The following is a 12,145-nucleotide window of genomic DNA, read 5'->3' on the forward strand; positions in this document are numbered from 1 at the left end:
GCAACCATTTGTTCCCTCCAGCAAGACTGCAGATAATTTCAGCCGGACCTTCTCTTCTTCTCACTCTGACCTCGAAGTAGATTTTGTTTCATCTGTTTGTTTTCATGACAGAACATCCTGGTAGGGAATATTGGCGTCTTTTTCTTTTCAAAGTGACACTGACACAACTCCACTTTGTGCAAATAAATGTTTTCAACCTAAATGAGTCATTTGGTGGGAACAGTGAGTTCGCAAGCCTGCATATAGGTTGACCCCTTTACCAAGGAGGGTGGCAGGTAGCATTGTGTTTGGGGCTGACAAATATTATGAACAATGAGATCCTTTCCATGGTGATATCCCTTGCTGTACGCAGGGAAAATAAGGATAAAAATAGGGTGATAGTTGAAAACTCTGGGCCAGGCAGAATGCATCCTTGGGGAGAATCCAGCTACACTAGTATCTTGCCATAAAATCTTGAGAGTAAAGGAGGTATTTAACTTCTGACTCTTGTTAATTCATTTGTGGTTGTCAGGATTTTAAATGTAAAACATTTAAAAAATACTCAGTATATAGTAAGCATTCAATGTTAGCTGTTATTCTTTTTTTTTTTTTTTTTTTTTTTTTTTTTTTTTTTTGACAGGGTCTCGCTCTGTCATCCAGGCTGGAGTCCAGTGGCATGATCTGAGTTCACTGCAACCTCTGCCTCCCAGGCTCAAGCAATCCTCCCATCTCAGCCTCCCAAGTAGCTGGGACTACAGATGCACACCACCATGCCCAGCTAATTTTTGTAATTTTAGTAGAGATAGGGTTTCACCATGTTGCCCAGGCTGGTCTCCAACTCCTGGGCTCAAGCAATCCTCCTGCCTCAGCCTCCGGCCTCAGCTCTGGGTAGGCCCAGAGTTAACTACCCCATGGTGGATGGATGTGGCCAACTCAGCTGCTGCCAGATGACACTCATAAATGATCATAAAGCAATCTGCCTCAGCCTCCTAAAGCACTGGGATTATAGGTATGAGCCACTGTACCCAGCCTGTTGTTCTTTAGAGACAGCATATAGGGGGCTGTTTTGCCCAGTATGGGAGTCACAACCCACATGTGGCTATTTAAATTTAATTAAAATTAAACAAAATTAAAAATTCAGTTCCTCAGTTGCACTAGCTACCTTTCAAGTACTCAGTAACTACCCATGTCTAGCGGTGACAACATCGGATGGTGCAGATGGAGAGCAGTTCCATCCTGCAGAAGGTTCTGTAAGACAGTGCTGATATGAAGGTGAAGGAGTAGCTTGAAGCTTGAGGGTCTGTGTGACCTTGGGTGAGTTACTTCACCTCTCTGTGCCTCATTTCCTCATTTGTAAAATGGGGATAATGTAGCTACATTATTCAGTCATAATAAGGATTATCTGCTCTGGAAGCACTCACAATAATGCTTATGATAATGGTAAACACACACCAGATGGAGCCCTAGAATGGACGACAGACACCCTTATGGTGCACGGTGGATTGCTGCGAGGATTAGAAAGACTTTTATAGAAAGCACCTCCCACAGGCCCAAACATAGCAGACACTCAGTCCATTCACTTTTTTTTTCAATAAATGTTCACAGAGCACCTACTATGGGTAGGCATTCTTCTAGGCACCAGAGACATAGAAATGAACAAAGGCCTTGCCCTCATGGAGCTTACAGTCTCACTAAAGGGGTTGATTATTGCTTACGCTAACAGGAACACCAACATGTCCAGCATATTACGTATTCTCAGCAATGAAAAAGAAATGCCAACCACAAAGCTACCCACAAAGGTGGCATCTGACAAAAAGGGCTCTAATGAATGAATGGATGGATGGATAGATGAATGAATGAGGGTGTGGGGAGGAGGCTCAATAATGCACAAGCAATGAACTGGGCTCTGGGTGGGCCCAGAGTTAATTACCCCACGGTGGATGGATGTGGCTAACTCAGCTGTTGCCAGGTGACACTCATAAATGATCATAAAGCAGTCTGTAAACAGTGTTATGTATAAAACCTTAATCATCATGAACAGGAATCTTAAGATCCAAATGCCTGGGATAAACATGGCCTTTGCACACATGCCCTCTGCCTTCTGTTCTGGACTCTGCTCTGACTCATCCTGTGGGCTGGGACTGTTCACTCAGCAGAGGGACCAAACAGCCTTTCACTGGCCCTGGACAAATGAAACCCCCTAAGAGGGAGGTGTCCCACTGCCCAGAAAACCCCTCCCCAGCCCTCGGACTCACCTGCCGGCCTGAGCAACGTGCCTTCTAGCGCTGGTTCTATTATTCACGACAAGGGGCTTTCCCAGGAGGCAGCAAGTGGCACTATGCTGCCTGCGTTTCTATTTCCAAAATCTGAAAGCTCTGTTTCATAGGTTTGCAGCTCCCTGACAGCTAAATGTCATGGGATGGAGCCACGTTGAATCACTGGATCTACTTCGCACCAGCAGGCTGGGCCTCAGAAAGTTATTTCAAGTCCTCTAGTCCCGATCGCTCCTTTTTTGTTTAGTAAGTAAAAATAGTGCATGCTTCACAACGTTGTTAGTAGGATTACATGAGAGAACTTAAATAAAGTGCCCAAGTCTTTGGTAGGACCTAGCTCATGTCCTACCTAGAACACCAAGATGGCTAGACAAGAAGAGGAGATGCAGCTCAAGTACCAGTTCGGTCACTATCTATCGGGGCCACCTGGTCTACCTGCGGCTTGCCCAATTCCCTCCTCATTCAAGAGGAGAGGGCCAAACCGGATCCAAGCAGCCTACCCTGTAATCTCTTGCAGCACACTACCCGCTCCATTTTCCCACAACCACGGTACATTTCATCCTGCTGAAAAGAATACAAAGCATATGAAAATTCAGTGCAAGAATTCATACCAGCAACCTCGTCCATCTGCATAAGACTTCGTTCCAAATGGTGACAACAGGCCCTGTGCTCATTACAGGTCTCACATGTGCATGGGTGTGTGGGAACAGCACCCTGTAATCCATGGGACTGAGAGGCAACTACCACAGCCGGCCTCGTCGGAAGCAGAAACACCTGAGAAACGCCAGGTTTGGAATGCTAGTTCTATGTGGCTTTTATACATGTACTAAAATTAAGAGCCAAGTTTTAGTGTAAAAATGCCTGTCTTGAATACCACACTTCGAGACGAGATGATGTCTAAGGGTCTTCCTGTATCTGATCTACAAGGATTCCTGCTAGGAGTTCACCTGGTGGGGAGGACAGGGCTGAAATGAGGTTAGGTGATGCTCCCCACGTGGCCTAAAACCATTACTGTCCCTCACTTCCCTCACCATCCCAGCCAGCATCTGCCACACCATGACCTCCTCTTGCCCATGGCCCTCCCTAACATGTCCTTAATTGTATTACAGGCAATTTCCACTCCCCTAACCAGGCAGATTCCTCCCATCAAAAACATTTCTGTGCCTCTTATTAAAAACTCCTTCATTTGATGCCCCTTTCTAGTGATTGCCCACGCCCTGGTCTGGTCAACCAGAAATCACCTATCATGTCAAATCCCAACTCATCATGCATTTACTGTATGTCTACCCCATGGCAGGCACAGCACACAGACTTGACAATGACCATGGCTGACCTTGAGGGGCTCAAAACTAAATGGAAAGGGGGTTGCAAGGTACACGGATTCACGGCAAAACTAAATGGGCAGCCACTAGTACTTCAACAGAATTCTAAGATGCCAGGCACTCAGGGCAGGACTGGCTGATTCCAAACGTGGGGTTGTGGAAAGAAGGGCCATGAACGAGGCTCCAAAAATGAGCAGAATGTAGACAGGGAGAGCAAAAGGGGGAAAGAAGGGAGACCCTTTCATTTGAAATCCAACTTTCTGAAGGGAGACCCTTTCATTTGAAATCCAACTTTCTGATCAATGCTCATCATTCTGGCCCTCTCTTACCCTTGGAGCCAGCTCCTTTGGATCCACTTAAGATTTCTACTGCATCCTCCTCTTGTCTGTCGGTTGGCTACTCCCTGCTTGATCTGACCCCTGCAGGCCTACTCACCTTCCCTACTCCCCAGGCCCTGACCCAAAACAACACTCTCAGAGTTGGCATTAAGTGTGGCAAGGCTAAAATTAGGACTGTTTCCATAGATATCTAGACTTCTCTGTAGCAAATGTGTTCAGCTCCCTCCCAAGTAGGGAAAAAAAAAGTATTCTCCATTCTGACTGCAAAGCAACCCAGGGGTCTGAAAAATCGAAGCCTCCTCACATCTGGATGCGCCTCTGGCTTCCCACCTCCATGGGAAGGAAAAGAGGAGCCTCCTCGGGTCTGTGCAGTGGTTTGCAGGGGTACTACAAAAGCCATTTGTCCTCACTGACGAGAAAACACCAGGCACAAAAGGAGGGGTAGCAACCGTGGGAAGCACTCGCATGTCCAGACCACCAGCACATAGGTGTGTACCCTCATGTCATCCTGGGAAGGGGGTCCCTTCTGGGAGGTGGTTCTCCTTTCTCCCCATTTCAGAGATGAGGCAATGCAGACCAGGAAAACTACATAATTCAGTGTTGCTGGAAGACGTGCCACATCACGGTGAAAAGATGGGAAATAGAAATTCAAAGATGTTCAGAGAACTGCCCAAAGCCACCCCACAAAGGGCCGTCATCAGGAGTATGGGGAAGTAAAAACAGAAACCGCTGATGTTGAAGGCACTGTTTTGTTAGAGGTTCTGGGTTCAATACTTCATGTGGAGTCTCGCATTTCACCCTAGTTATGAGTTGAATTGTGTATCCCCCAGAAAGATGTGTTGAAGTCCTAACCCCACTCAGAATGTGACCTTATTTGGAAACAAGTTCATTGCAGATATAATTCAGTTAAGATGAGGTCATAGTGGAGAAGGGTGGGCCCTTAACCCAGTCTGACTGGTGTCTTTATAACATGATGGCCATGTGATGAGACACACAGAAAGAGCTCCAGTGATGACAGGGGCTTAGAGGGACGCATCTACCAGCCAGAGTGCCAAAGAGAAGCTAGGCAGAGGCCAGGAAGGACACAGTTTCAGAGAGCATGGCCCTGCCAACACAAAACTGGTCTCTGGAATCAAGAGACATTATTGTCTCATTTCTGTTGTTTTGAGCCATCCAGTTTGTTATGGCAGCCTTCGGAAACTGATACAGTCCTCACCACAATTCTATGAAGACAAGTACTGACACAGTTGGGTTTTACACATGAAGTCACTAAATCTTCATTAACAACAAATACCAGTGACAGGTATCAACATGGTACCAAGTGCTTTACAGACAAACTCATTTTATTCCCACAACAACCCTAACCCCACAACATCCCCATGACTGTCTGTGTTGTTGTTGTTGTTGTTGTTGTTGTTGTTTGAGACCGTCTCGTTCTGTTGCCCAGGCTGGAGTACAGTAGCGCAATCTCGGCTCACTGCAACCTCTGCCTCCCGGGTTCCAGCGATTCTCCTGCCTCAACCTCCTGAGTAGCTGGGATTACAGGTGTGTACCAGCACACTCGTAAAATTTTTGTATTTTTAGTACAGACAGGGTTTCCCCATGTTGACCAGGCTGTCTTGAACTCCTGACCTCAGGTGATCCGTTCACCTTGGCCTCCCAAAGTGCTAGGATTACAGGCGTGAGCCACCGTGCCCGGCCTGTCCCATTTTAAAGGAGGGAAAACTGAGGCATACAGAGATTAAATCATTTGCATAAGGGCACAAGGCTTGTATGTGGTCTAATGTGGATTCAAACCCAGATCCAGAATCTGTGCTCTGACCCACTATAACCAGAACAGTGTCTGATCTAGAATTGAACTCAGAAGGTCTGGTGACACAGCCCACATCCCTAGCCTCTTTTAAAACTTTGTATTCCACCTGCTGATAGAATGCTCTGCACTCAGGAGCACCTTAAAACATTTATTTCATGGCACAAATAAATTAATTAGATAGGCAGTGGTTTCCATACATCCCATTAGCTCAAATTAACGTATATTTATATTCATTTTAAGGCTGACCCAGGTCTATAGCAGCAACAGAAATCAGAATAGGAATACCTGGGGTGTCTAGAGTACAAAGCAGACAGAGTAAAATAAAGCTCCTGTCTTACAAAGCTTTTATGTGCTAGGTCATTTCAGTAAGCATTTAATGAGCACATATTGTGTGCCAGCACTGTGTCAGGTAAGGGGGATACAAAAGACACAGACTCAGCCTGCCAGGTGCTCCATCTGGAAGGACATGGAAATGGCCAAATTACCATATATCCAGGTAAGTACCAGGACTAAAGTCAGAACACAGATGCTATTAGAGGACAGAAGAGAGGTATCAAAATCTGTCCAGGTAAATAACAGATGGCTTTAGAGCATCTGGAACCAGACCTTTACCCTTAATTTCAAGCTTCTTATTTTAAGGCTAATCTAAACACCACTACTACCAACCTCCTTCCCCTGCACATAAGCGTGCACGCACACACACACACATACTCCTCTGTCTTCCCTCATTCTCTTTTTTCTTTCTCTCTGCAACTTTTCACTGAAACACTTGATTTTTTCACTGCATGAACCACACCGGTGACCTACAGAACAAATGGCAATATTTAACTAATGATTACTAATCCATAATGAAGTAAATAGTTAATTGATGACCTTCAGAAAAAAAAAATTTAAGGTCAGAGGCTTGAAGAACTAAAGTCCATAGCTAACTAGCAATGTTCATTAGTGTTAATTGATCTAAACAGTCTCAGCACCAGGAAGTCAAGTCTATTTCTAAATCAGCAAAAAAAAAAAAAAAAGAAAAGAAAACAATATTGGGGAAAGGAATGAGGAACTAGGGTGGCAGGAGGTGGGAGTGATGGAGGGGGTTCCTTCGAGTTGAAGAACCTAAAATAGAGCATGCTCTGACGTCAACCTTTCAGCCAGTCACTCGCCCACCCACAGAGGCTGGTCACTCCACACACAGCACGCTGTCTTGACTGCCATGTGGCGGCGTGGCTTAGCAGTAAGAATGCAGACTCTGACGTGACACTGCCTTCATTATTTGCACTGTGAAATGGGCACGCCAGCATCCACTTCACAGAGTCATTCTCAGGTTGAGTGTACCAGAAGTGCTGAGAACCTTCCATGGCACAGAGCAGACACGCAGTAAATGCTATCTATTATTATTATTATTATTATTATTATTATTATTATTATTACTAGCACGATCTTTGCCATTAAAGAATTTAACACGGCTCCTAAGAAAATACACAGCAGCTGCTATCCATCGTCATCACCAGTGTCATCATCGCCATCCCCATCATCACCACCAACACCGCCACCCCCCCAGCGACACACTAGCTGTGGACACATCCTTTACGCCCTTGAACCTGAGTTTCTACAGCTATGAAGCAAGTCCCATGGAATTTACAGACCAAACGCTAAGTGTAGGGCTCCCTGGGAGCTGGTCTTATGGAGCACACTGGCAGGAAGAGCCAGAAACTGAGTGAATTTGGAGCACGGAAAAGAGCCATGGCCAGGCGCGGTGGCTCATGCCTGTAATCCCAGCACTTTGGGAGGCTGAGGCGGGTGGATGACCTGAGGTCAGGAGTTCGAGACCAGCCTGGCCAACATGGCAAAACCCTGTCTCTACTGAAAACACAAAAAAATAAGCTGGGTGTGGTGGCAGACACCTGTAATCCCAGCTACTCGGGAGGCTGAGGCAGGAGAATTGCCTGAACCCATGAGGTGGAGGTTACAGTGAACCGAGATTGCACCACTGCACTCCAGCTTGGGTGCCAAGAGCAAAATTCTGTCTCAAAAAAAAAAATAAATAAAGCCATGGAAGTGAACTAGCTGGGAAAACACACAAGCAAGCCTCTTACATTAAAATCGGATCCTTTTACCAGAAAGCATGCCCACTCACCTCTGCCCAAACCATCCCCAGCAAAAGGGAGGCCCGGGAGGAGGGTGCAGATTTGGCCAGATGATCTGGAGCTGGGGGAATCCGGCCCCGATAGAGCACACCACCTCATTCCTGGGTGGCCTGACTTTGTATTTGGGTTTATTATCTCTGCCCTGCCCACACCCTTGGGATCAGGCCTATTTCTTTTTTTAACTCCCCTGGCACGAGCAGCGCACGACAAAGGCACGCCTCGATTAGCTGGAGTGTTCCTGGCCTAATGAGACATGCTGTGGAGTTATTTGTCTAGTCTGTTCTGAATGGTGTCAGATGGAGCACTTCCTGCCCCCGGCTGAAAGCCCTGAAGGCCGTGTCGCTCCTGGGGCCTTCCGGGAAGCTGAGATGCAGGCAGGCAACACAGGACGAGTGGAAGCATGGAGCAGGTGGCACTCAGCGTGCTCGTCTGCCTGGGGTCCAGCCTCTTCACCCACCCAGGAAGATAGCATGTCACAACCATAGAACCTGGGAAACAGCCACTGACCAGGGTCCAACAACGTGCCTCTGTTTACCCATCCAAAACACCCCATCACCAATTCTGGCACTAAAACTTGTATGATCCTTTCTCAGATTCATATGCCATTCTTTACCCTCCCACTGTCTGCTACCTCACATCCTTCCTCCTCCTCCTCCTTTCCACCAGGCCTAGGATCTGCCTCCCACTTGGGTCCTGCCCTGCCCTCCTCACTCCATGTCACAAGAAGCCAAGTACAAGTCACTGGTTTCACCTTCCTCCACCTCTTCTTCCTCCTCCCCCACTGAGGCTGCATCCCTTCTCCTCTCACCTCCCAACCCTGATATTTCTTCCTTCCACCCCACCCGGCTGTATTCTCTCTCCCTCTCTCTCCCCCTCCTCCGTCTCTCTTCCCCTCCCTCCCTCCTCCTTTATTCTTCTCCTCCTGTCCTCTATTCTCCTGCCTCTGCTCAGGGAACTTAAATAAGAAAATGGTACATTATTTCCACAGGCCGCTTTTTGCATCCTACCTCTGTCCAACGCAAAACCTCTTCTTTCCTGGCTAACTCGGTCCTTTGTGACAGCCTGACTGAATCCGGGGACAGGACCTAAGACATGCTGAGGTTAGAGGGATACAGCAGGCCAGGACCACAGGCACGCCTCACCTCAAGGAAACCCTGTGCAGACAAAGGGTAGAAAGCTGGTCTTCAGGTTTTCACTCCTCTAAGAGGCTACTGCAACTGTCCTCACTCCCCAGGACACCTCCTCTTCCAGGAGCACATCAGCCGCCGCTTTGATCTGACCTCACAACTTTTTCACAAAGGTCTCAGGGCGTGACCCAAACAGAAAGGCAATGTAACACGTGGCAGCTGAAACGGAGCAATTTGCTCAACGAACTGCAGCTATGTTTATTATTTTAAATGGATTATAAAATAGAGTATTTGTCCTGCTTTTACTGGAAATGTTAGAGTTTGAGGGTATCTTTTTTGAAATATATTTCATTTTTAGGTAATAAATCTTGGGCAAGACACTATTTCCACCCAACGATCACTGGAAAGTGTGGAGTCAGGTCCCCCTGGGTTCAAATTCCACCTTGGTACTTAACTGTCTTTGAAAGTTCAGGCCAGTAACTTAGCCTGTCTGTGCCTCGGTTTCCTTGTCTGTTAAACATGGAATAATAAAGTTCCCACCATAGAAAAGTAGTCAGAGGACTGTAACTGACTCTGCCAACATTATATACATGTGTATGGAGCCACTGACATGTCAGATGCTATTCCAAGTGCTTTACATGGATTAATAATTCACACAGCTCTAAAAGGTAGGGACTGTTGTGATCCCCATTTTACAGAAGGTCAGCGAAGTTGAAAAACGTCCAAGATGACATGACTAAGCAGAGGATACAGGATTCACCCCAGGCAGTCTAGCTCCAGAGATACACCACTCCATCTATGAGGTTAGGCCCAGTGGCCAGCAAAGAATTAGCTGCTCAACAACTCACTCACTAGGATTATAATAAATATTACTGGCTTCATTTTTATAAGAACCATTGCCTCCAGAGGGGCAATTTTATTCTGGCTTTTGAATTAAATTTCAGAGCCAGGGCACTGACCCTCGTGCTATAATAATATGTATCTCTACCCACACCCCACCCTCACCATTCTGGAGAGAAAGGCAGGCTGCGGGAACTGCCTGCTTGCAGCTTTATGGGTCAAGCTGCAGTCTCTGGGCCAAAGAAGCTGGGGGTGTCTCCATCCCAGAATTGTTGGCAAATCTCTCTGTGGCCAGGGCCAACTGCAGAATGACAGCCACCACCTGTCCCTCTTGACTGGGGAACCATGGGGGCAGAGGGCTGTGCCACAGAGAGAGCAAAGCTCCTCCAGAACACACATGCCCATCTCCAACCATGCCAAGGGGACTCCAGGCTGAGCAGAGATGGCCCTCCCCAGCCCGCCATGCCTGCTGCATCCTCTGAGCAGTGACTGGTGCTAAAATCCACAGCAACCAACAGGCAGCAGCCCCAGCCATGTCCCATGCCGCAAAGCAGGTGACCGATGAATTTAGCTCGCACTTGGCAGCACAGGGCATTTTCACTTTGGTGGGAGGAAGCCGCCTGATTTCGTTTAATTGGAAGTTTCCCTCACCAGTGCCTGAGAGTGCTTGACAGCAGGAAGTGGAAGCGGGAAACACAGGACAATGAGAAGCCTGCCTGTCCCACACTCTGACACCTCCGGCAGCCCCACCTGATGGGCTCTGCTAGCCAGGTCACTTCTGGTAGGTGAGGTGCAGCCTTCAGTGCCCGGGGGCCAGGAGCATGCTGCATCTGGGCTCTGGGATGCAGAGCTATGGGTTCCTCCTCCACAGTTTTCCAGCAGCCACTCCCAGATAGGATTCAGTCCAAAGATCTCAACCTAAATATCCCAATCTTGGGATTTTAGAACAAAACGTCATAGAAGAAAACATACAGGATGGTCAAGAATGCAGGCTTTGGAGCATGTAATTTCTGTGTCTGAATCACTGATCTATTCTCTCACCATGAGACCCAGCAGTTGGGTGGGCCTCTGTGGGCACAGTTTATCATCTGTACCATGAACACGGGAACCAGGTTAGAACCCCAGGCCTGGGGATAAAACAGGACTGAAACTAACTGGACCCCCATACTGGTCCCCATGATAACTCCAACCATTGGGATTTGCTCAAAAGTGTGGGCCCACGAAGGTAATTTATGGAGTCACAAATCAGGAGAGCAGATACCCTTAGAGACACAGGGGGCAGTGATGGGAGAGGGGGAGGTGCACTCGGGTCACTGGTAATGTCCTATTTCTTGTTCTGGGAGCTGGTGATACAGATATGTTACCTTTGTGAAAATTCACCAAGCTGCACACTTATGCTTTCTGTGCTTTGCTGCTGGTATAATATGCTATACTTCTATTTAAAAGCAAACTAACACAGGAACAGAAAACCAAACACTGCATTGTTCTCACTCACAAGTGGGAGTTGAACAATGAGAATGCATGGACACAGGGAGGAGAACAACATACAACAGGGCCTGTCGGGGTGCGGGGGTGCGGGGCTAGGGGAGGGAGAGCATTAGGACAAATACCTAATGCATGCAGGGCTTAACACCTAGATGACGGGTCGACAGGTGCAGGAAACCACCATGGCACATGTGTATCTATGTAACAAACCTGCACATTCTGCACATGTATCTCAAAACTTAAAACAACATAAAAAAATAAATAAATAAAATATAAAATAAAAATGTACTGGAAAAAAAAAAAAGCATTGGCATGGGACACAAAAACTGGCCTTTATGACTGTCCTCGGCTCAGGGAAAGAACTCCAGATCTGAACACTCTGGTCATCTCTCCACATAAGCCCCCTTCACCCAGGGCTGTATTTATAAAACCCACCATCTAATGGTACCACTGTATTTGCAGATGCCCCAACAACTGTGAGTGATCATCACATCCAGTGACCCCAAAGCATCCTCTCTGCCTTCCGCAAGTATTTACTGAGCGTCTTCTATGTACCAGGAATGGATCCAGAGGTAAACAAAACTAAGAAAGTCCCTTTTTAAAAAAAGCTGATTTTATGGGTCTGAAGAGAAGGGAAAGAATACCATTTACTGAGGCCCTGCTATGTATAATAATGGTGCCCTGGGGGTGCATCTGCCATGTAATTTTATTGTTAACCCTGTTGCGAGGTTCAGTCTAGTCAAGATTATCCCTCCATTTGAGGTATAAACTACCCAGTCTACGCCAAATGAAAGCCCCAAGTATCCTCCAAAAAAATTTTTTTTCCCAAG

The 12,145-nt window shown here is 47.0% G+C and overlaps 1 protein-coding gene across 21 annotated transcripts in view, besides 4 other annotated features; it reads right to left on the reverse strand.

Annotated features, from left to right (window-relative positions):
- Window positions 1-12,145, reverse strand: part of LARGE1 (LARGE xylosyl- and glucuronyltransferase 1) — an 856,162-nt gene that overhangs the window by 798,592 nt on the left and 45,425 nt on the right. For 3 of the 21 annotated variants that reach the window (NM_001378626.1, NM_001378625.1, XM_024452303.2), the window contains exon 1: window positions 7,854-8,075. The exons of the other annotated variants lie outside the window; for them this stretch is intronic. The gene's annotated coding sequence lies outside the window, so the exon portion shown is untranslated. Of the gene's footprint in view, window positions 1-7,853; window positions 8,076-12,145 lie in introns of those variants that run through there. 21 annotated transcript variants of the gene reach the window in all.
- Window positions 2,203-2,702: an enhancer, noted in NCBI's record as "H3K27ac hESC enhancer chr22:34263445-34263944 (GRCh37/hg19 assembly coordinates)". NCBI's record gives its function as "activates a minimal SCP1, AML or CMV promoter by ChIP-STARR-seq in primed H9 embryonic stem cells {active_cell/tissue: H9 hESC(primed)}" and the evidence as "EXISTENCE:reporter gene assay evidence [ECO:0000049][PMID:30033119]".
- Window positions 3,792-4,292: an enhancer, noted in NCBI's record as "H3K27ac hESC enhancer chr22:34265034-34265534 (GRCh37/hg19 assembly coordinates)". NCBI's record gives its function as "activates a minimal SCP1, AML or CMV promoter by ChIP-STARR-seq in primed H9 embryonic stem cells {active_cell/tissue: H9 hESC(primed)}" and the evidence as "EXISTENCE:reporter gene assay evidence [ECO:0000049][PMID:30033119]".
- Window positions 4,293-4,793: an enhancer, noted in NCBI's record as "H3K27ac hESC enhancer chr22:34265535-34266035 (GRCh37/hg19 assembly coordinates)". NCBI's record gives its function as "activates a minimal SCP1, AML or CMV promoter by ChIP-STARR-seq in primed H9 embryonic stem cells {active_cell/tissue: H9 hESC(primed)}" and the evidence as "EXISTENCE:reporter gene assay evidence [ECO:0000049][PMID:30033119]".
- Window positions 10,401-10,900: an enhancer, noted in NCBI's record as "H3K4me1 hESC enhancer chr22:34271643-34272142 (GRCh37/hg19 assembly coordinates)". NCBI's record gives its function as "activates a minimal SCP1, AML or CMV promoter by ChIP-STARR-seq in naive H9 embryonic stem cells {active_cell/tissue: H9 hESC(naive)}" and the evidence as "EXISTENCE:reporter gene assay evidence [ECO:0000049][PMID:30033119]".

This window comes from Homo sapiens, chromosome 22, assembly GCF_000001405.40.
Source record: "Homo sapiens chromosome 22, GRCh38.p14 Primary Assembly".
Taxonomy (NCBI): Eukaryota; Metazoa; Chordata; class Mammalia; order Primates; family Hominidae; genus Homo; species Homo sapiens.